This window comes from Homo sapiens, chromosome 3 (genome assembly GCF_000001405.40).
Source record: "Homo sapiens chromosome 3, GRCh38.p14 Primary Assembly".
Taxonomy (NCBI): Eukaryota; Metazoa; Chordata; class Mammalia; order Primates; family Hominidae; genus Homo; species Homo sapiens.
In genome coordinates, this window is record NC_000003.12 from 148,983,133 (window position 1) to 149,006,667 (window position 23,535).

The 23,535-nt window shown below is 43.5% G+C and overlaps 1 protein-coding gene and 1 pseudogene across 5 annotated transcripts in view, besides 2 other annotated features; one reads left to right on the top strand and one right to left on the bottom strand.

Annotated features, from left to right (window-relative positions):
- UBQLN4P1 (ubiquilin 4 pseudogene 1) lies at window positions 1,052-4,618 on the bottom strand (annotated as a pseudogene).
- Window positions 8,047-9,096: a silencer, noted in NCBI's record as "silent region_14802". NCBI's record gives its function as "represses an Ori minimal core promoter by ATAC-STARR-seq in GM12878 lymphoblastoid cells {active_cell/tissue: GM12878}" and the evidence as "EXISTENCE:reporter gene assay evidence [ECO:0000049][PMID:35858748]".
- Window positions 8,408-23,535, top strand: part of GYG1 (glycogenin 1) — a 40,236-nt gene continuing 25,108 nt past the window's right edge. For 3 of the 5 annotated variants that reach the window (NM_004130.4, NM_001184720.2, NM_001184721.2), the window contains exons 1-4: window positions 8,408-8,515; window positions 11,010-11,145; window positions 13,170-13,344; window positions 13,610-13,772. In NM_004130.4, coding sequence (NP_004121.2) covers window positions 8,509-8,515; window positions 11,010-11,145; window positions 13,170-13,344; window positions 13,610-13,772 — 481 coding nt within the window. In that variant the 5' untranslated portion in view covers window positions 8,408-8,508. Of the gene's footprint in view, window positions 8,516-11,009; window positions 11,146-13,169; window positions 13,345-13,609; window positions 13,773-17,514; window positions 18,462-20,820; window positions 20,867-23,535 lie in introns of those variants that run through there. The other 2 variants (XM_017006275.2, XM_017006276.2) reach the window with 2 other exon arrangements.
- Window positions 9,130-9,424: a silencer, noted in NCBI's record as "tiled region #13788; HepG2 Repressive non-DNase unmatched - State 1:Tss, and K562 Repressive DNase unmatched - State 2:TssF". NCBI's record gives its function as "represses a minimal TATA promoter and a strong SV40 promoter by Sharpr-MPRA in HepG2 and K562 cells {active_cell/tissue: HepG2 | K562}" and the evidence as "EXISTENCE:reporter gene assay evidence [ECO:0000049][PMID:27701403]".

Consider the following 23,535-nt stretch of genomic DNA (forward strand, 5'->3'; position numbering starts at 1 on the left):
GAAAGCTACAGAAATCAAGATGGTGTGGAACTAACATTAGGATTGACATATAAATCAATGAAATAGAATTGATTCCAGAAATTGAATTTAGTCACATTTATGATCAATTGATTTTTCATAATCGTGCCAAGACAATTCAGTGGGAAAAGAATAGTCTTTTCAACAGATGGTATTGGAACAACTCAATGTTCACACACAAAAGAAAAAACCTGAACTCCTACTTCACAACATAAAAAACTTAACAAAAATTAACTCAAAATGGACTATGGACATAATTTTAAAAGCTAAAACTACAAAACTCCTGAAGAAAACATAGGAGTAAATCTTCATGACTTTTGGTTAGGCAATAGTTTCCTAGGTATGACACCAAAAACAGAAGCAACAGAAGAAAAATAAATTGGACTATATCAAAATTTAAAACTTCTATGCTACAAACAATACTACCAAGAATATGAAAAGTTAACTCGCAGAATGAGAGAATATATTTGCAAATCATATAGCTGATAAAAGATTTGCGTCTAGACAAAGAAATTTTACAACTCAATAACAAAGTAAACCCAATTAAAAAGTGAGCAAAGGGTTTGAATAGACATTTCTCCAAAGAAGTTGTACACATGGTTAGTAAGCACATGAAAAGATAATCAATATCAAAAGTCACTAGAGAAATGCAAATAAGAATCACAACGAGATATCACTTCAGACAACAACAAATGTTGGCTAAGAAACGAAGAAATTTGAACCATCATACATTGCTGGTGGAAATGAAAAATGATACAGATGTTCTGGAAAACAGTCTGGCAGTTCCTAAAATGTTAAACATAGAATTACCACATGATCTAGCAATTCTACTCTTTGTATATATTTAGGAAAAAAAATATGTCAATGCAAAAATTTGAACACAAATGTTCACAGCAGCATTATTCATACCAGCCAGAGTGGAAACTACCCAAATGTCCACCAACATGTTCATCCATAATGAATGGATAAACAAAATGTGGTATACCCATAATGAAATATTATTTGGCAATAAAAAAGAAATGAATTTTTTTTTTCACAACAAAGACCACGCCATTTATTTACAAAGGCCAGTGTGGGAGCTGGGGGAGGCAGGGAGGGAAAGCCACACAGACATCTTCTCTGGACTGCTTGGGACCCTTTCCCACTTGGAGCAAACTCTGTTCCTCTTGCCGTCATATTCTCAGCCATGGGGTCGGTCCTCCAAGCAGCTGGGCCAAGTAGGAGAGGGAAGAGGTGATATGAGCCTCCTCTGTGCTCTGACAGAGCAATGTCCAATTCCAGATCAAAGGCATCATTGCCACCCTCTCCTCTCCTTCCTCAAAGAAAACTTTCTGGCCTGGAGGGAAATAGTTAAGAACTGAAAGGCCAGGGGCTCTGGAGGAAAAAAACCCTCTACTATTCCCACAAGGCAGTGAGGGGTGATAAGGGTGCTAGTCACAGCCCTGACAGCTTCAGAAAGGGTACCCACATTACCTCTGGGTTACCCAGCATCCAGAGCTCCAAGGGACCTAGCTCTCCCAGATATATATTCCTGCAATGGACTGACCTTTTTACCCACTTGTCTCTGGTGGTGGGAGAGCACTCTGAACCAGAAACCAACAAGGAATCCACTTCCCACCCAACTTAAGAGTGTATGCACACATGTGGATACACATGCACCTCCCCACTACTCACACAGACCCCAACCCCCTTCATGTCTTTTGAGGGGGGCTCAAATTACTGGTGCCTGGGGACACAAGCAAGACCTGGGTCCATGGAAATGTGTGTGTGTGTGCATATAAGCACATGTGCTTGAGGAACTAAAGCCAATATGACCCCTTGTGGGGCGTGGCGCTTAGCTTCATTGAGCTCCTTTCTTCAGTTTAAATTCCATTAGCATCTCTAAGTCTCTTCTGCCAGCTTGGGCCTGGATTCTTCTGCCTAAAAGAGCTACGAGTGCTTCTGCTCCCCACTGTTAATTCCAACTTCCAAGCCTTTTACTCAGGCTGTCTCCCCCATTCCCCTCCTCCGAATAATCTCATTCCCTCCTCTTTCACATCAATTTCCTCTGAGCTGCTCCAGGGTTTGTTAATTCCTGTCCAGAGAGCTCTCTCATCTCCCTCTTCAGACAGGGAGAACAGGCGTCTTCCTCCTTACCCTGGAATTTCCAACAGTTCCCACCAAAAAGTGCTGAATGAACCAGAATAGGGGCCGAGGAGGAAAATTACCACCTGTTTCACCTGCTCCTCCTTCAGAGCGAGAAATTCTAGCATTGGTTGGGCTAGGGGTTGGGGGGTAGGGAGAAAAAGAAGGAAGAGAGTTACCAAAAGTAAACATAAGACAAAACCCTAGTGGTATAGATGGAAGACTATGTTCCAGTAAACCAGAGAGCTGGTTCCTCCCTCGACTCTGCACAGCCACTGAAAGTTTAAAGATTGCAAAAGTGGTGTGGGGCAAGGAGGTAGAGTCAATCAATGAAACTGTGAAAACTGTTTAAGTAGCACTGCTCAAGGAGACCAGGAGAGAAGATTCTGTTAGAGACGTAGCAGTAAAACCATAATTCTCAGACAGAGCTAAGGGGTTGGAGCCCATGTCTCTAAAGTCACCCTGCTGTTTGGAAAGGATGAGGGAGAAGACGGAAGGGATGACAAGCTGCAGAGGGTAAGGATTGACAGAAGAACCGAATGCTGACATCGAGGGAGGGGAGAGGCAGGAGGCATGGGACGAGGGATTAGGAGAGCTGGGAGCCCAGCAGTCTCTCGATAGCTGCGTTGATGTCCCCTCCTGTGGCAATCAGGGCCTGCAGGTTGGCCTCACGATTGATGAAGCCCATGGAGTTGAGCTGCTCCAGCTGCTGCTGAAATCTCACTTCTGACGTCTGCACCTGTGAGTTTCCACTTCCAGCCAAAAGCTGGATCATCTGCTGCATGAGTTGCTGCTGGGTGCTGGAAGCCCCTGTTGGAGAAGATGTGGCTGGCGTGGCTGGTGAGGAAGTGGGGGCCTCGGGCGTAGACCCTGCGTTGCTGCCTGCTGAGGGTGCTGGGGTCCGGGACATCCCGAAGGAGACAAGGCTGGGTACCAGCCCAGGGGCCTCGGTCTGCAAGGTCTGTAGTCCCTGCTGGATCTGCAGCAATGCCTGCATGGCTCGGGGATTGGTAAGGATGGAGAGTGACTCTGGGTTCTGCATCTGCTGCAGGAAGACTGGGAGCTGCAGGCGGAGCTGCTCCTGCAGTTGGGGGTTCCCCGCGAAGAGCGGCACATTCACCATCATCTGAGCAGCGAAGTCGGGGTTCTGGGCAAGCGTCTGCATCATGCTGCGCATGTAGGGTGCTGAGATCACATTCTGCATCAGCTGGGGGTTCTCAGAGATCTGCTGGAGGAGGGCTTGCATTTCTGGGCTATTGAACATCCCTGACCTCAGGCTAGCCGCATTGATCCCAAAGGGGTTCAAGACTGTCGGGTGCACCTGGCTGGTCCCCGATCCTCCGGTGCCCTCCCCACCGGACCCGGGGGCCTGGGAGGTGGGGGGCGAGGGGCTCCAGGGGTTAGGGAGGGGCTCTCGATTCTCAGTCCGCAGAGGCTGGGAGGATGAGCTGTCGGAGTTCCCGGCCAGGGAAGAGAAGGGATTGTTGCCAAACTGTTCCCGGGCAGCACTGAACATGGGCTCCTGGATGTCCGTGTACATGCGGCGGAGGGCATTATACCCTCCAGGGATGCTCTCAAGGTTGCTCAGGGCCCGGTCCTGGTTCCGCATCATCTCTTGCATCACGGCTGGATTCCGAGCAAGCTCCATTGTCTGCCTCATGAGTTCAGGGTTATTGAGCATGTGGCTGATCTCAGGGTTCCGCTCCATCAACTGCTGCATCTGGGGTTTGGCAATAATCATGTGACGCATCAGGTCAGGGTTAGACATCATATCCTGGACCAGGGGGTTCTCCATGATCTGCAACAGCATCTCAGGATTGGACATCAGCTGCCTCTGCATCTGCTGCTGCAGCTCCATGAAGTTGGCAGAGCCCAGGCCCAGGCTGCCCAGCCCCAGGATGCCCCCAAAGCCAGAGAGTATGGACGCAGTAGCACTGGGGGATCCCTCCCCAGTCCCTGGAGAGGGCCCCCCACCACTGCTCCTCCGGCTTCCACTGCCAGCATCCGAAGAGGCACTGTCAGAGGTGGAGGGCTGGGTAGGGGTGGTGGGTGAAGCAGGCGTGGTGGAGGGTGCTGAGGCAGGGTCAGGTGTGGAGGGGGAAGAAGCAGTGGCAGCAGCTGGATCTTGAGCCTTCTGAGGGGTCTTGATGACCAGATGGACAGTGAGCCCGTCCTTGATTCCGTGCTGGTTCAGTGTGTCCCCATCCTTGAGGATCTTGCCTGACAAGATCAGGACCAGCTGATCCTGCTGAGCCTTAAACCTCCGGGAGATTTCCTCTTTGAACTCCTTGACCGAGGCTCGATCGCAGATCACAATTTCCTCCTTGTCCTTGGGGGTCTTGACGGTGACCCGAATGGGGGGCCTCGTCTCGGCCCCGCTCGGCTCCGCCATGCCGCCGCCGCCACCCGGCCGCCCGCCAGCCCGCCCGGCTCCTCCTCCTCCCCGCTCGCCCGGCCGGCCCGGCTCGGCTTCTGCCATTTTTTTTCTTTTTTTTGAGACAAAGTCTCACCCTGTCACCCAGGCTGGAGAGCAGTGGCGCAATCTTGCCTCACTGCAACCCCTCCCGTGTTCAAGCGATTCTCCTGCTTCAGCCTCCTGAGTAACTGGGATTATAGGTGTGTGCCACTATGCCCGGCTAATTTTTGTATTTTTAGTAGAGATGGTGTTTCGCCATGTTAGCCAGGCTGGTCTTGAACTCCTGACCTCAGGTGATCTGCCTGCCTCAGCCTCCCAAAGTGCTGCAATAGAGACGTGAGCCACTGCACCTGGCCAAGAAATGAAATATTGATACGTTTCACAACATGGAAGAACTTTGAAAACATTATGCTAAATGAAAGAAACCAGTTACACAAGACAACATATAGGTAAATCTCAATAGACAAATGTTTAGACAGAAAGTAGATTAGTAGTTGCCCAGGACTGAGGGAAAGAAGAAGAGAGTAAGGAGTGACTGCTAATGGGTACAGATTTCTTTTGGGTTGATGAAATTGTTCTAAACTTAGATTGTGGTAATAGTTGTACAACTCTGTGAATACACTAAAAACCATTTAGGTATACACTTTAATTCAGCACAAGTGGCTGAATTTTACACAATGTGAGTTATGTAACAATAAGGATTAAAAAAAAAAGCTATGTAACCAGCCATCAGGCTACTGCAACTTTTGGAGTTTGGGACTCTAGCTTTCAAGTGAAGAACGGACTACTTTGGGCCTCCAAGGATATTATTTCTTGAAACCAAACTTTTGCTTGATATTGTGATTACCGACAACAATCCCAGGTACAGATTGTGTATGTTATCAATTAAGGGCAAAATTTTAAGTTAGTTGACTAGTTAGTTCCTGTGTCTGGCCAGATGTGGTATATGTATTTCACAAACTTTCCGTGGGAACCATTTGATTCTCAGGCGAGTAGGTTGCCCTCTGCTCCGGAATATATTTCCAGGTCAGTTGCCCCCACCATCAATTAGTGTGTGTGCTCAAAAGAATGCAAACTGATTTCAGCATTATCTTAAACAAAACTTAATTAGGAAGGTAAGTATCCTGCCAAAAAAATTACATAATGCATTACAAAGCCAATTTAAAATGAATTTTGGACCATTCCGAATATATGAATTCAGCATAGGTTTAAATGGTTAATAGTCATGCCTACTGATGTAGGGTATAACTTATCTTTTTTAACTTAAATCTTTCTTTTAGGATTCTGTAATTTTACTAGTTCAAGTTTCACAAGAAAAAAAATAACAAGCTAAAATCTGAAACATTTGCCTCACTATACCATGTTTATCCACTACCTCTAAGGCCTTACAATCCAAAATGTTTGAACACCTCACTATTCAAAGTGTGGGTCCATAGCCTGGGGATCACCTGGGAGACCCACCCCCAAACTACTGAGTCAGAATCCGCATTTTAATAAGATCCTTGGGCAATCTGTGTGCGCATTAAAGTTTGAGAGGTCTTGCTCTCACACCAGACTGAAGCTCACTGCAGGGCAGCCTCAGGAAAAGTAGGCAGTGGGGTCATTATGATCTATATTAAGACAATGAAGAAGAACAGATTGTAGCAACCTCAAAATGTCCCTATTTGATTCAAAGTGGTAAAAGCTGTAAACTTTCTATTTGTGTAAATATACATGAAGCTCAGGAAGGGAAGCTGTGGTAACCGTTCCTTTTACTTAAACGTCCTGGGAGTTGCAGCAGAGAGGAGCTTGTTCTAAGGGAAGCTTTTCTGTTTTTCCCAGTTGTCCCCAGTTCTACCTCCTGGCTTTGCCCTTTCAGCCCCATCACCACATCCCTGGCTAAGTCCAGCCTGAGATAGTAGGCTGCAAGAAGTAGATGGTTAAGGGTCAGCTGATGGCAGGAGGGTTCTGGGTGAAAGATGGAAATCTCACTCTTCCAAGTTCACCTCTCAGTCTGCAAAAGAGCAATCAGACTGAGAAGTACCTCTCTTTGTTTTCCCTCTCCCCACTTAAGATACAAAAGTGTAGCCTTTGTGTTCCTTAAAGAGCTCCAACTCTTCTATGTCTATATCTTTTGAATAAGTGGAAACCCATCTATTGCCCTTTCCACTTTTCTGTTTCCTACAACGGAAGCACATAATGCCAAGTAACTGGGAGGGCCTCCCATGTGATCAGCGGTCTCTAGGCCATGGTCAAGACTAGGAAGGACTCAAGAGAGGCTCCTGGAAGGTGATATTTAAAATACTGATTTTAAGGTTCTACCCTTAAGATTCTTTTTGTTTTGTAACCTGTTTTTCTTCAAATAATATATTTTGAACAGCTTTTTATATTAAAAATATATAATGATTATGCCTACAGAGTATTTCATTACCTCAAGAGTATATGACGCGACTTCAAAAAGTCCATAGAATATACATATTATAAAAAAAAAATGCATGGATTTCAAAATTATTTTGCACCAAAATAAACCTACCCTTAAGATTCTGATTCAGGAGGTCTGGGCTTAGGCCCAAAAATCTACGCTTTAACCAGTGCCCCCAAGTGATTCTGATGTAGGAGATCCACACCCACACACGAGGAAACAGTGATATAACTGGTTTGAGGACAGCAGTACCACCTTTGCAAATAAATCACTTATTCTTAAGCATCTGTTTTGCTTTTTGAACTGATGTCAACTTCCTGATTGGTTTCCAAATGGCTTTGCAGTACTCATTCAACATTTACCGAGCAATTTCAGTTTTCAGTTTGCAGAGAACTGAACTACCCGAGGCTTGTTCTGTGTTTGGACTGGGGATGGGGAGCAGAGAAGGATGTGATCACATTAAAGCTATTTCTCAACTTCCTAGAAAAATGACAAATTGACCATTTCAAGATTTGTGAAACAGGTTAGCATTGGCTAACCACAGTTACAATAATTTACTAACCTTTTTGGAGCCCCTGTGTACAAGAGGCACCAAGACTTTCTGGGTGGGAAGGTTGATTCTGTAACCAAACTGCCAGGGTTTAAATCCTACTTTCTCCATTTATATTATATGACTATAGAAAAGTTAGCACTTTGGGAGGCTAAGGCTGGCAGATCACTTGAGGCCAGGAGTTCCAGACCAGGCTGGCCAACATGGTGAAACTCTGTCTCTACTAAAAATACAAGAAAAAAAAGAAAAGAAAAGTTAATTTAACTTTTCTGAGCTCAGTTTCCTCCTCGTCTGTAAAATGAATATGTAACACCTCACTGAGTTCGTACAAGGATTAAATGAAGCACTTAAATGCCTAATTGATGCAGATGGCTCCAAGAATTTAACATTTACGAAATATTCACTATATTTTTTAGGTTAAGGGTACAAAACCATTGTGAGTACACTAAGGAATGATTATAGAGGCTGATCGAAATTCTGCAAAAAAAGCGTAAATTTTACGTTTCATTCAAGCAGTTCAGACTCACGATTTTAACTAGAGTAATCTGGGGTTTGTTTGCTTGTTTTTTAAGGTTCCCTAACCCTTGGCTTCTTGGGGAGTTTGATGCCGCACTCAGCCCCAAAGTCCCCCTTAACTCCCAGGTTTAGCGGCGACAGGGGGCGCGCGGTTGACAAGGGCAGGCGCCCCGGGGAAGTAGGAGCAGGGGCGCCGGTGAGCCGCAGCCGCAGCGGCAGCCTAGCCCCGAGGGAGGGAGGAGGAGCCGAGGGAGACGCGGGACCCGGAGCCCCGCGGGCCACCGCCCCTGCCGGCCGCGCAGCTGGGAGGATGCGGACGGCAGCGAGAGCGTGCGCGGCCACGTGACGGCCGCTATAAGAGCGCACGGGGCAGACGCTCGGTTCCCCGCCGTGCCTCCTCGCTGGCCGCGCTCCCTCCCGGTGCCGGCTTCTCTGAGTCACCAACCTGAGGCTGCCCCGGCCGCCTGCGCACCCGGCAGCACCATGACAGGTACCGCCGCGCAGCCCGCCGCCGCCAGCCCCGGGACCCCGGCTTCCTGCCCAGCCGCCGCCTCCCTTCTCCTCCGCCCTCAGCCCCGGAGTGTTCCCGGCAGGACGAAACCGCCGCAAAGTTGCTGGCTGGCCGCAGCCGGGCGTGTTTCTGCCTGCGTCAGCTGCCGCCCCGCCGCCCCCCAGAGTGCAGGGATGGGGCAGCCGGGCAGAGCCCGGGCCCTCGGCCGGAGCTCTCGTTCCTGCTTCCGTCTCCTCGTCCTTCCTCTTGCTCTCACGGCGAAGGGCCGGCGGGCGGAGCAGCTGCGGCGGGGCCGTGTGGGGGTGGGGAGCCGGTTCCCCTGGGGGTTCCAGGCGGGAGTCCGGGGCGCAGCGGCATCGTGGGGAGCTGCCCCGGCCTCTGGCGGCCCGGAACCCCAGGAAGCAGGGGCTCCGAGGCGGGGATACTGCGGCCTCCGCCCGGCTCCTCCGCCGCCCGCCCCGGCCCCGGCCGCCACGCTGAGCCTATTTTTAGGCCTTTGGGGCCGGGTTGCGGGAAGCCGGGAGTCGGACTAGCGTCCCCGGGCGCGAGCCCCGTCTGGTGGGAGGGCGCCGGCTTTGGCTTCACTTGTTGCGAGGCGTCCGGGCCACTCCACGAGTTAGCCCCAGCACTGGGAAGCTCCGAGTTAGCTGGTCCTTCCGTGTCATTGAGGCTAATAGCCAGGGTTATTACAGCAGTTGAACTGCCACAAAGATTGCAGGTGTAACCCAGAGTTCAGCCGTCTTTAGGAAGATTAAACTCCTACCCAGCTGTCATTGGTCTTTCTTGGTCATTTGTAATGTTGGCTAGTCTGGTGTTCTAACCTGTGTTCTATCCCTTATTTAATCTTGGAAATCATCCATATCCTTGCTTCCAGAAATCCTTGAATCCTGCTCACCTTATTACATTTTTCTCCATGATCGCCTGGAACCTGGACTTCATTTGAGTTAGATGATCATTCATTTTGCCTAGCTTAAGTATTTTTGGTACAGATTGACAGCGATGTTACCCATGTTATAATGGGCTGAAGATAATAGAAGCAAGTACAGGCGGATGTTGATGGGCCTGTCAAGGGACAGGTGCCACTGTTCAGAGCTTTCCTAGAGTGTGAGTGACTGGGAAGCTGGTGGCCCTTCGGGGGTGGGGAACTGGTCTTCCTACAACTTAGTAGTTGGCCTGCCGTGGGAGAGGGCCTAATAAAATGTGTGAAGATGGCTCTCAGGTCAGCAGCCGAGGGATGCGCTGGCCCACTAGGCAACCCACAACTTCCTCTCATGTCTCGGTGGAATTTCTACTGCTTCCAGCCTCCACCTTGGAAAACGGGCAAGGGAGAATGAGGGAAAGCCAGGTCAGAAAGAGAAGGACTTCATGACAAAATGTCCCAACTCGCTGGTTAAGCAACTGACTCCTACCAGAACTTGATCCGAAGTGTCCTATGCATTTGGATGCCCACCAACTTGCTAATGTTTCTTGGAGATGGAACATGGCCCAGAATTGTCCCAGGGAATGACTGGAGAAATCTTGAAGCCTGTGCTAGGGGTCTTGGGAGGGTGGGGACTGTTCAGCAGGAGGAAAAATCCATGTATTTACCTTCTCTTCTGGCAACTAAGTGATTATTGGAGATTGGGGTGCGTGTCTGTTGGTTTGGGCGGGGGGAGGGGGAGGGTGCAGGATGGACCTGCACCTTCTTCTCCAAAGAAAAGCAGGCAGTTGTTTAGGGCTTCTTGGGTGATCTCCAAATCTATTTATCAGTGATTGATAACTATTTAGATAGAAGCATCAAGGAGGGAAAGCCTCTTTGAGGAGCTGATACTTGAGGAGAGACTCAATGTTATTTTTCAGGGATATTGGGGCAGGGGAGCTTTTGCTCCACGTTGAGGAAACAGTTATGTATAAGATGCCTGGAGTTCGAGGCTGCAGTGAGCTATGATCACACCACTCCACTCCAGCCTGGGTGGCCGAGTGAGACCCTGTCTTAAAAAATACATACATACATACATTCCTGAGGCATGGCATAAACGTAAGCACCAGAATGAAGAATATGGACTCTGCTTTCAGACTGACTGAATTGAGTTTGACGGTTGGTTTTGTGCTTGTCTGAAAACACTGTCTACAGTACCTTGTAGAAGAAACAGCAAATGTACTACTTGATCTCTTCATTACCATCTGTTAGTTGCCTGGAGTTCAAACTCTTGGTATTAAGCTATTGTTTTGTCTGAGAATTTAGCGTGTCGGATTTAATTTCTATAGCTTAATCAACCTGTTGAAGGTTGCCATATGTGCCTGCTATGATCTTGAACCATTCTTGAAGTGGGCACTTGGGGTTTTCTCCCCAAAGGGCTACAGCTTGATTCATAGAGAAAGTTGATGTTAGAGGAACTGGTTTTGCTGAATTACTGTTTGAATGGGTTCCTGGGGAAAAGGCTTTCTCCAGATAAGATACTGTAATGAGTGTTTTTTTTTTCTTTGTATTAAGATCAGGCCTTTGTGACACTAACCACAAACGATGCCTACGCCAAAGGTGCCCTGGTCCTGGGATCATCTCTGAAACAGCACAGGACCACCAGGAGGCTGGTCGTGCTCGCCACCCCTCAGGTCTCAGACTCCATGAGGTGAGGACCTCGCTGCCACCCCAGCATCCAAGGGGCTCTGACATCCTTCTCCCTGTTGCTGACATCATTGGACATTGAGGCCATGCTCTTTTCAGGAATTGAGCACCGGGTAGAGAAAAATGAGAGATGCTGAGTGCAGGATTGCTGTATTTGAAACCTCCTCCTAGCTTTTGGGAGATATTCCAACTCAATTCTTTTCTGGAAGGTGTTATGCTGGCCCACACTTTCTGGTTCCAACTAGGAGGGGAAAGAAGGAGTCGTCTTCCTTCACTCCATCCCCTCTGGGTGATCTGAAGGAGTGTGTCAGGCATTCCCTGCTTACATACACCTTTACACAGTCACAATTCATGGACATTCCTTTCCCAGGATGCAGCAGGGGCTACATTGTTTCATGTTGCAAACTAGGGAAACTCTCAGGTGACTTAGAAAAGTAGTTATTTTATCCATTGCCAGTTGATATTTGTAAGCTAAATATCTTTATTTACAATATAATACACTAGAATCTTTACCAAAGGGCTTTCCAAACTAGGTTTTACTAGGGGAAACACACTAAAGGGTATAAACTGCTTCATGATTGGTTAGTTCACTTTGATCCGATGGAATTAAGTTTTGAAGTATTTGGGCCAGGTGTGATGGCTCATGCCTGTAATCTCAGCACTGTGGGAGGCCAAGGCAGTTGGATCACCTGAGGTCAAGAGTTCCAGACCAGCCTGGCCAACATGGCGAAACCCGTCTCTACTAAAAATACAAAACCTCATCTCTACTAAAAATACAAAAATTAGCTAGGCATGGTGGCGCGTGCCTGTGATCCCAGCTACTTGGGGTTGGGGGCTGAGGCAGGAGAATCGCTTGAACCCGGGAGGCAGAGGTTGCAGTAAGCCGAGATTGTGCCACTGCACTCCAGCCAGGGCAACAGAGTGAGACTCTGTCTTAAAAAACAACAACAACAGAAAATCGAAGTATCTGAATGAGCTACCTAGTCTCTAGTAGTAACTTAAAAAATATCCGGGCACACTAGTAACTTTGTGATGTGTTTATTTTTCTGGTCTCCTGGCCCTCTAAGAAATTGAAAATGCCCTTTTTGTGACTTTTTATTTTTTTCCCAAAAAGTATAAGCACAGGCCAAGGGTCTCTAAAAAGTAGACGTTCTGTATACATACGTATATCTTTCACACTAATACCTTTGTTCCTAAATGGTAATTTAGGAAGATGCCAAAAAGGCTGTCTCCTAATGTGTGTGCCCTAATTTGTAGTCTATTAGGATATGTCTAAGAAACCAGATCTAGTCTTGCATTTCCTGTAACCACCATCAGTTGACTTTGGTCAGTGATTCTCCTAACCATTTCTCTTCAAAAACGTCAAGTTTACTGTGTGAACTGTACCATATTTTTGTACAGCTTTGGAGACAGAATACAATACCAGTTTTGTTCTGCATCTCTGATGTTATAAACTTTCAGTATGATACGTTTTTACCCGTGCTCAGTTTAGTGTCTTACCCAAGTCTACCCTACCGATCCACCATAAAGAGCTTTCTAAAATAAAGCCTTAGTTAATCTGGGGCATAGAGAAGTGTTGTACCTCACAAACCAACGTGAATCTCATTATACTTAAACAGCGTGCTCAGCATGTAATAAATGCTGGTTATATTGGATTCTACAAAATGGCAACCTGATGAACAGAGCCCTTACACATTTTTGCAAGCTATTTCCACAACCTGCCTGCTATTCAGTGATACAATAAAATACAAAAACCCAGAAAATGTCTTCTATAATAACGTTTTAAGATGAGCATTTCATCCTCACCATAAGCAGTTCTTACTACTTTAGTGACGTTAACTGGACATGCAAATAAACACAGTTTGTCCTGGAGTAAAATTAGAACAGATTTAAGGGTACATATTCTACCAAAGCAATACATTGTTCTAGTAATTGATGGAGAAGGTAATAAAGCATCAGTCTTACAGCAGATGGGTCACTTGTTCTGAAAAGATGCTAAGTGTGGTATTCTGGATTTTATTTTGACAGAAAAGTTTTAGAGACAGTCTTTGATGAAGTCATCATGGTAGATGTCTTGGACAGTGGCGATTCTGCTCATCTAACCTTAATGAAGAGGCCAGAGTTGGGTGTCACGCTGACAAAGCTCCACTGCTGGTCGCTTACACAGTATTCAAAATGTGTATTCATGGATGCAGATACTCTGGTGAGTGTGGCTTTGAGGGTAGAAAAGAAAGACATATATATATATGGTGATGGAGACCTGTAGGCATTTGAGGAATGCTGTCAAGACTTGACGGTAAAGTTCAGATAGAACCACTGTCATGAAATATGTCAGGGGATGAAGGAGAGGAGGCCCAGGCTGCCTTACAGCTGTCACCATCTTTTGTGTTGGATGACATAGGAAGAACTCAAGAAGGGTATTCTGCAGCAAAAACATTTCTGTAATGCTCTTTCTCCCCTTTGATCAGGTCCTAGCAAATATTGATGATCTTTTTGACAGAGAAGAATTGTCAGCAGCACCAGACCCAGGGTGGCCTGACTGCTTCAATTCCGGAGTCTTCGTTTATCAGCCTTCAGTTGAAACATACAATCAGCTGTTGCATCTTGCTTCTGAGCAAGGTAGTTTTGATGGTATGTATTTGCTATCTTCATGTCTGATAAGCTGTTAATAGTAATTTCTAGGGGCTGCTCTTCTCAGGAATATAATTGCTGTGGTTTATTCTGCCTGGAAGATATAAGAGATGGAGCAAGCATTTTAAGTTGTGCTCTTCTGGGAAATATTGTGTGTGTGTGTGTGTGTGTGTGTGTGTAAATGCATCTTTTTCTATAGATGTGAAAGATTAACCTAAACTATGATAGGCAATTTTATAGGATTGTCTTTAAGTTGTCTTCCTGTATCTAGAGTATGATAAATGTACTGTGATTATTCAAAAATTCAAAAGACTGAAAAACTTTAACATCTGTCTTTAAACCTAAGTAAACGTAAGCTCAAGAGAGTTTGACAGCCATTCCAGGAGGATCAAGCATTGTCACTATGGAAACTTGAGGAATAAGCCTGATAATTTGGGTCTCATTCTCTCAGGCGGCATAAAAAAGAAGAAAGTTTGTGTGAATAATCTTTGCTTCCAAACTCTCATTCTCTATAAGGCTGTCAGAGTAGTATCTGCAGGGCCAAAAAGTAGAACATTGGCAAAGTCAGCATCCATTTTCTATAACATATAAATGTATTTATAGTTATATTTATATAATGGTTCTGTCTGTGATATAGGGCCTCACATCTTTTGGAGAAGTTGATCAAATGAATTAGTAAGTGTGCTTTCGTTTCAGGCCAATTTCTGAAATAACAAGCCATGTTTTTAAAAACAAAAACACACAGGACAAAACCAATAGTTAATATGCAGAAGGAGTTCTTTGAAAAATTATTTTTGATGGTTCTTTTGAATAAAGACCCAGAATAGAGAAGAAGGAGGACATTCTCTTAGAAGCCCTCCCAGCAGTGCCTCACTATCAGATATGTGACATTGTAGCAGGGCACAGTGCTGTGTGCTATTCACATGGGGTTGGGCCAGAGGCCCAAGCTCTGCTGGAGACACAGCGGGGACTTCTTTCCTCCTCTCCCCTTTCCAAGAGTAGATCTGAGATTTGCAGTAAGTAGATCTTTTGGAAATAGCAGAAACAGCCTTTCTCATTTGACAAAAGATTCAGTCCTGGGTGCAGATATGAGAATTCATTTTTATTAATTGGTTAGAAAGTTAAAAAAATATTAAACTTTAAAAATGAAAACATTAGACCTATAAGTTTGTTAGATTGCTGAGGTGAAGATACTGGAAGTTAAAACATTTCAAATTATACATAAAGCTGAGATTGGGTTTTCATTGTTGCTATTCACAGAAATTGAATTATTTTTAGTTATTTGGCTGAGGATTTGGGAATTGTGGCTATATATGAAATGTAATTGAAAATAATAGGGAAGTTTAAGTCTCAGTTTTATTTCACTATTTAGCTTGTTTATGCTGTAAGCTAATAGTTCTCAAAACAAGGGTGATTATGTCCCCCAAAGGACATTTGGCAATGTCTGGAGACATTTTTGGTTGTTACAACTGAAGGGGGAGGGTGCAAAGGGCATCTGATGAGTGGAGGTCCAGGATGCTAAACATCCTACAATGCACAAGACGATTTCTTCCAACAAAGAATTACCTAGCCCAGCATGTCAGTAGTGCTGAGGTTGCGAAACTCTGCTCTCTACATGCTCTAAAACAGAGCAGGAGTATCTGAACCATAATGTATGGCAGCATCTAACAAGAAGTGAAGTCTTGTTTTAAGCAACCTTAAAATAAGAAAATAATAATGTGTTAAATGTTCACCGTGGTCAAGGCCGAATGAAACTTCTTCGCTTTACTGACATGTTTTTAGCTCCTGCTATTTTCCTTTCATAGAAGGAATGAAAGCTGTATTAGCCTTTAAGTTCAAAAGATGTATTCCTTATTTCTACTGCTTATACTGAAAGTTACCTTTGCATAAAAGAGGAGAGTGTTTTTAGCAGAAGTCCACTGTTTGTCTTAACCTTCTCGTCAGAGTGTAGCTTTCTTCACCTCCTCTCCTAATTTGAAGGAAGTAAGTGTAATCCTGCCAGAAATTCGGTGTAACTCTTTTCAGCTTTAGTAAGTGAATCACATTCTAAAGTATATCTTGTGGCCTGCCAACTGCCTGAAATCCACATGATTTTAATCATGTAAAGAGAATCCAATTTCTAACCTAGAAAACGATTAGATGTTATTGAGAGGTAAGACTTTGATTACCAAACAGTAGTGTGCCGTGGTAAATTATCTAGGTTATAATTTGAGAATATGAAACTAACTAACCTATTCTTTGTTAAGAAGCTTGGATGCGTGCAGAGTGCTCGACTAGGAAGCACTTCCTGCTTTTTCAGCCAGAATCTGAAACCACCGTGAGATTCTGTCTGTGCCTCTAGCACATTTCATTATTCAGCAGCAGGTTTCCAGGTGCTGGCCATCCTCTGAGGTATTCCATTTACTGGCTCATTGGTGGTGAAGGACTGAATCTTCTCTGTTAATAGAAATTGAAAGAGGTAAAAAGTCATCTATGCAGCTGAGAACTTATGGTTCTCAATATGTTGTTTAAATTCAGCAGAAGAATGAATTAGCAGTTCTCGAATCAAAGGTTGTGTTCACTTGAAATATGTGTTAAGCTTTACTTAGCAAAGAAAGCTCACTCTATACCTTGGGAGGCTGCTTCTCTCTGGAGGGGTTTACTATCCACTTGAATCAATGTGTGAACTGTGTGACATAAAGATGTGTTGGACTTATGCTTGATAGCAATAAAATATTTCTTTATGGACAATGACTTTGTCTAATGGCAGTAACCTTTGCCTCTGGTTTTCAATATGTTATTATATAAAAATTATAAATATAGTAAAAGTAAATAGTCTTAAATATAAAAATTAAGAATTATATAAAAATAATTTTGGTTAGGTGTTGTGCTGTAGGCACTGATGAACATTTTCAGGTGTTCCTTTCACAGTTACCCACATTTTCTCACAACCATAGTTTCTCCCTCCACCACCCCCATAGTCAGTTTTAAGTCCCGGAATTTTCAGCTCAGACCAGTTTTACAGATGACTGTATCTCAGTGTGAATATCTCGCAGGTCATGTTTTTAACCTCTTTCCTGTGTTCATCAGAAACTGGTGGGGCCTGATGTCCACTGACAAGCCACACAGGCTGTTGATGGCTGAGCATTTGCAGCTGCTTTTGCAACCCTTCTCATGCAAAAGAATGTGGCTGTCATTCTTCTAATCACCAGCCCTCTATTCACAGCCTCTCCACCTCTCTATTCTGTGACTCTGGCCAAGAGAATAATCCTAATATGGCAAACCATACGAGGTACCTGGACTTCTCTTTCTTCCTAAAATTCTATAATGTTAGATTTTAGAACTGGTGACTACATAACCGAATTCATGGCTGGTGTCTAATTTTCCATAATGAAGAGTCAAACTTCTATACTGTTGTATTTTCAAACTGTCTTGGCACTTACTTCATCACTGTAATTACATATTTCCCGAAAAGTTGAACAATAGCTGTTGTGAAATAGTTCTACACTAGTATTGTATAGGATGTGACAAGATAAGGTTAGCTTCTGGGCATGTTAGCACTAAGAGGGGAAGAGAGAGCTCATTATATTGTAGGTTCTAATCAGCAGTTTTGCTTCTGCCACATCGGTGAAATGAGGCTGATGAACTTGACTCTGAAGAAATCAACCTGAATGCAAGTTGAGGTTTATTTTCTTTTCCCCTGTGACTAATATATCTTAAGAGTGCTTGTATAGTTGAAGAGTTAAGTGCTTAAAAATTGTCTATTTTGTCTGTATGTGTTAGTTTCAAAAACCTAAGTCAGAGGAATTCATATTTTGTAATTTGGAATATCCTTAAAAAACATCTTATACTCATTTTGATTACTGCAGTGTAAATATCCTAAGCTTTTGATTGGTGTACTGGAATTTTGGTCTGTAGTTGAATTTCTAGAAAGAAGAAAACATAGGAGAGAATAAATTAGTAGCAGAATATTAGGTATGATTTATTTAAGTAGAGTCCAGGATCCGCTTTGAGGTCACTATATTTGTGTGTTCCAAATTCTAAGTGGTCATTGAGTCCCATAAGCAGAGTACAGTAATGTTTTAAAATAATGTTTAACAGAAATGATTTGGTGCTACATTGTATTAAAGTGTAAAATTGACCCCAGAGCTAGATTTTAAAATCTTTGTAGTTAATTAGGCTTCATGTTGGACCTGCCCAAAAAAAGAATGAAGGACTGAGATATTTCAAGATGGTACTTGTCCAAACCAAATGAGCTGAGAGATTTTGGTGTGCTTCACTTGGTTCCCTGACTTGATAGGTCAGCCCGGACAGTTATCTTCCCATGGTGACTTCCCCCAGCCACCCAAGCACTAGGCTGCCTGTTCTAGTAATTTATCAGTTGTTTTGGAAATGACTGTGTTCTCTTGCATTTGTGTCATTTTATTGATAGTTTGGATAATAAGTATCTTGAGGAAAAGCAAAAGCCATATCATGTAATGGCAAAATTAATGAGCACACGTAAGTTTTTTTAAGAGCTATTGTTATGTCACTGTACCCGTGAATATACTTTTTTAACTTAGCCACCTGTCTCCAGCTTTGTAACTGTCAGAGATCATGAACCCTGTGAGAAATAGAGGAGGAGGAAGGGACTAATGTGTTATATGTATGCAGGCTTGTATGCTGGTCATTTTACCTACTTTTTCACTTATTTCTCAACAGTCCTGTGAGGTAGGCATTCATACATCCATTCATATAACAAATATTAATTGAGAGCCTGCTATCTAGCTAGCACTGGGGACCTGCCATTGGTACAGTTCAGGGCAGCAGCTTGCCTGATGTCTCTGAGCTAGGCAAAGTCAGGTCTGAACCAGGGTCCTTCTCAACTCTGGTTGGGTTATGTGTTGTGGTGGGGTGGGTGGTGGTGGTGGGTGGTTTTTCCATTCCCAATTCTCTCATATGGCAGCATTCTTGAGTATGTATCCTGAGAATAATACGGGATGGAGGAAGATCCCTATTACCTTGGCTTTATGACAGATGAATTAAGTAATTTCTCTGAGTAGACAGAGCAGCTGGTATATTCCTCATTTTACAAATGAAGGAATGGAGGCTCAAGTCTTCTATCTCTATTGCTACTGTTCCTCCCCTCTGATCCAAAATACCTAAAAATACTTTGTCGTTTAAAATCAGCAGCACAGTTCATCGTCTTGCAGTGTTTTATGGAGTCTAGATGTATTCTTGGAAGGGTTCCTCTCACCTATATTTCTGTAGTAGGTCCATTCATTATTTCAAACATAATTTTAATTTCTAATCTGGGCAAAATCCTAAATTGAAGGGGCAAAAATAGACTGGTAAATAATACAGATTTTATTCCTGCCTCTATAAAGTTTATATTCTGAGACCTTACAGACATCTAACAACTAATACACAGTTATGTAATCATGATTCTAGTAAGTTCAGAGTACTAAGAGTCCAGACTAGGAGGACCTGCCTTAGACTGAGAAACTGACATTTAAGCCAAGAATAAATGTTTCCTTGCAAGTATGTAATAATTAATAGCTTGATACTTAATAATCTTTTAACAAAGTAGTGAAAAACAAAAGCTATAACATGAAGTAGTAAAATAAATCAGTTATTCTTGGCTTAAATGGGTTGAGGCCAGTGAGATGCCGTGATGCTGGGGCCCAAGCTCCAAGTGCCTGGATTTCCATAAGCCACCTTGGGTTAATCTAATGATCCTCAGTAAATCTCATAAAAATATCCCCAAGAGCTGGGCTTTCATAAGCTGTAATTTATTAATCCTTAGCATGCTCACTATAGGCAGTAATGATTATATCCACCAAGCATTTTGTAGGAAGTTAGTTTTAAAAAGAAGTGTCCAGGCGCAGTGGCTCACACCTGTAATTCCAACACTTCGGAAGGCCAAGGCAGGTGGATCACTTGAGGTCAGGAGTTCCAGACCAGCCTGGCCAAAATGGTTAAACCCCATCTCTACTAAAAATGCAAAAATTAGCCGGGTGTGGTGGCACATGCCTGTAGTCCCAGCTTCTTGGGAGGCTGAGGTGGGAGAATCACTTGAACCCTGGAAGCAGAGGCAATGAGCTGAGGTACGCCACTGCACTCCAGCCTGGGTGACAGAGCAAGACTCTGTCTCTGTAAATAAATAATAGATAGATAGATAGAAGTGAGTCACATGTTCATGTCAGTCCTTGTCTCTAGCTCAATTACAATATAAAGCATATTTTACTATAATTTTTTTTTTTTTTTTTTGAGATGGAGTTTCACTGTTGTTGCCCAGGCTGGAGTGCAATGGTGCAATCTCGGCTCACTGCAACCTCTGCCTCCTGGGTTCAAGTGATTCTCCTGCCTCAGCCTCCTGAGTAGCTGGGATTACAGGTGCCTGCCACCATGCGCAGCTAATTTTTGTGTTTTTAGTAGAAATGGGGTTTCACCATGTTGGCCAGGCTGGTCTTGAACTCCTGAGCTCAGGTGATCCACCCACCTCGGCCTCCCAAAGTGCTGGGATTACAGGTGTGAGTCACCGTGCCTGGACTTTTACTTTATTTACTTTGTCCATCTGTCCCTTTTTGGATTTTGAAGTATCTGAGAGTTGGAACCTATCTGAATCTTCCTATTATGTGAATACCAAATTTATAAAATGTTAGACATTTTTTATAGAAATGATATTTTTAAAAGTTATTATCCTTTGTTATAATAAAGAAGTCGTTCTTCAAAAGACTCTAGTACTTCTCAAATTTAATATGCAGACAAATTCCCTAGGGATTAAGATGTGGCTTCTGATTCTGTAGGTCTGGGGTGGGGCTCAACAGTTTGCATTTCTGTCAAGCTCCCAGGTGATGCCCATGCTGCTGGAACCCGGGCCACAGTTTGAGGAGCACTATTATAGGGGGAACATTCCTTTGGCTGAGATGCTGGGGCTCATGTCTAAACCAGAATTAACTCACTGCCCTGTTATCCACAGTAGACAAGCCAGCTGCCAGCAAACTGTGGAAGAGCACGCAAAGTACACAAGCATTGAACAAATGCACAGATTTAAAAAGACACCACTTAACTCTTGTTTCTGTCTTAGGAAACAAATAGGCCCAGTTTCTGATAAATGCATCCATGGTTACCAGGTATGTGACCCTGCTCAGAAGACCTAGAAAGTACCAAGTCTGTAGTTGCAAGGTGATTACACAGCATTTGCATTTGGGCAGCCGGGTGGAAGGATGATTCAGAATGAGATACTTGCTTTTGTTCGCAAAACAGATGCGATGTGCCCCTTGTTCCATTTCCTTTCTCCCTGTCTCTCACCTGTGTTACCACACCCTGGTGTACCGGATCACAGCTGCTAGTGATGCCTGCTAATCATGTTTGTTGGCTCTGAGATGAGTGAGATTAAAATTATCTTAACCTGTCAGATTAGATAAAGCTGCCTCTAGAAGTCTGACTAAAATGTATCGGACAAAAGTTGTAGGGTTTTTGTTATGGAAAATCAGCAGTCTTTAGGGCATCCTTGTATGTTTTCTAATACAGATGTGCCTAGATTTGCATTCTGCTTTGAACTGTCCTATCATTTAAAGATTTTTCTAAAGAGAGGATATTGGTAACACCATACATAGATTTTTCTGATGACGTTAAAACATTTGCCTGACCTTAAAATGTTGAACTGTGCATTTGGGAAAAGGTGGTTAAGATTTCTAGACCGCTGAATTTAAAAATTCAGCTACGGACTTCTACATGGCATTTAATTTATTTTTAATCCACAATTTTGGACTAAATGATAAACCTTTGTAGTCACATAATGAGGTCAGTGGCCCTGGAAGTTTTATGACCTGTGTTGTCCCCTCTGGAGCCAAGGTTCTTGTTGAGTGTTTCAGGATTTGCCAATTTAACAGGCACTGTTGATTCACCAGTTCTGCTTCAGTGCCTTTTCTCTTCCTTGCTTGTTTTCTGTACACCCCGTGCTTCCCAGCCTTCCTGTGGCACACAGCTGATGGGCTGATGATGTTTGTAGGGTACCTGAGGGTAAACAGAAACGGCCTTTTGTGGCCAAAGGCAGCCAGCCAGGGACTTTGAGGGATCAGCAGCTCTGACTCCTGTTTCCCAGGCTCATGCAGGTCGGATTTGGAAGTTCTACTTTACAACTACGATTTAGGCCTCTGTGGAATTAGATTTCTTTACTGCATTATGGGTAGCTGTTAGTCATTTTAAGTGGAATTGCTTCAGTTAAAGAAGGTGTTATAATGTCCAGGTTCTCAAATTGGATAAATGTGTAGAGTTTTATTATTAATATCCTTTATAACCTACACATATATTTTTTTTTTGGTAGTATACTTCATAATAAAAATTAAAAGTAAAGAGTATTTAGAAAGAAAAGATCTAAGCACAGTTCTCATTCTTGCCCCCAGTTGTATTACTAATATTTTAGCATTAAAAGAATAATAGGAAAAAGAGGGGGGAAGGAACATCTATTACACCAATCCCCTAATGCAATTACTATTATTTTATTTACTTTCTTGTAATATAAATGTTAATTAATGTTTATGTTCTTAGTTATAATCACAATGTATGTAGCTGTATATATTACACAGTGTACTGAAGTTGTCTTTATAGACATTAGTTTTAATTGCTGAATCATATTCCATGAGTAGTTAGTATTAATATACTAACCATTCCTGTATGGTAGAATATAAGTCGTTTAAATTTTTCTGCTGTTACAGAATATCTTCAAGATTCTTGCATTCATTCCATAAATAATTTGCCTATGTGTAAGGCATTCTGCTACATGTTAGCATCATAATGGTGAGCAAAAGGCCATAATCTCTGTTCTTGTGGAATTTAGCATCTAATTCCTGATTGTATTTTGCACATTAATTGTAAGAGTTTTTTAAAAACCTGTTCATTTTGAGAGAATTTCCATGCAGTTGTAAGAAATAATACAGACAGATCCCACATATGCTTCATCTGTTTTCCCCTAATGGTAGTACCTTACATAACTAAAATGTATTGCCCCAACCAGGAGATTGACATTGGACCAATCCACCAACCTTACTCAGATTTCACCAGTTTTATATGTATTCCCTTTTCTGTGTGTATGTGTATATGTATATGCACTTTTGGTTTTTATGCAACTTTATCACATGGGTAGATTGGTGTGACTACCACCATAGTCAAGATGCAGAGTAGTTCCATCACAAGGACCCTTCATCATATTCTTTTTTTTTTTTTTTTTTTTGAGACCGAGTCTCACTCTGTCACCCTGCCTTGAGTGCGGTGGCGTGATCTCAGCTCACTGCAACCTCTGCCTCCCGGGTTCCAGCTGTTCTTCTGCCTCAGCCTCCCAAGTAGCTGGAACTATAGGCGCGTGCCACCATGCCCGGCTAATTTTTGTATTTTTAGTAGAGACGGGGTTTCACCATATTGGTCAGGCTGGTCTTGAACTCCTGACCTTGTGATCCACCCACCTCGGCCTCCCAAAGTGCTGGGATTACAGGCGTGAGCCACTGCGCCTGGCCCATCATATTCTTTTACAGCCACAACTACATCTGTCATTCTTTCCCTCTCCCCTGGCAACCATTAATTTGCTTCCTATCTCTATACTTTTATTATTTGATGTTATATAAATGAAATTACATAGTATATAACTTTGTGAGATTGGAGTTTTTCACTGAGTGTAATTAATTTAAGATTCATCCAGGTTATTGTATCTCTAGTTTGTTCCGTCTTATAGCTGAGAAATATCCCACATGGATGTACCATATCCATATACCTGCTGAGTGACATTTGAGCTGTTTTCAGTTTG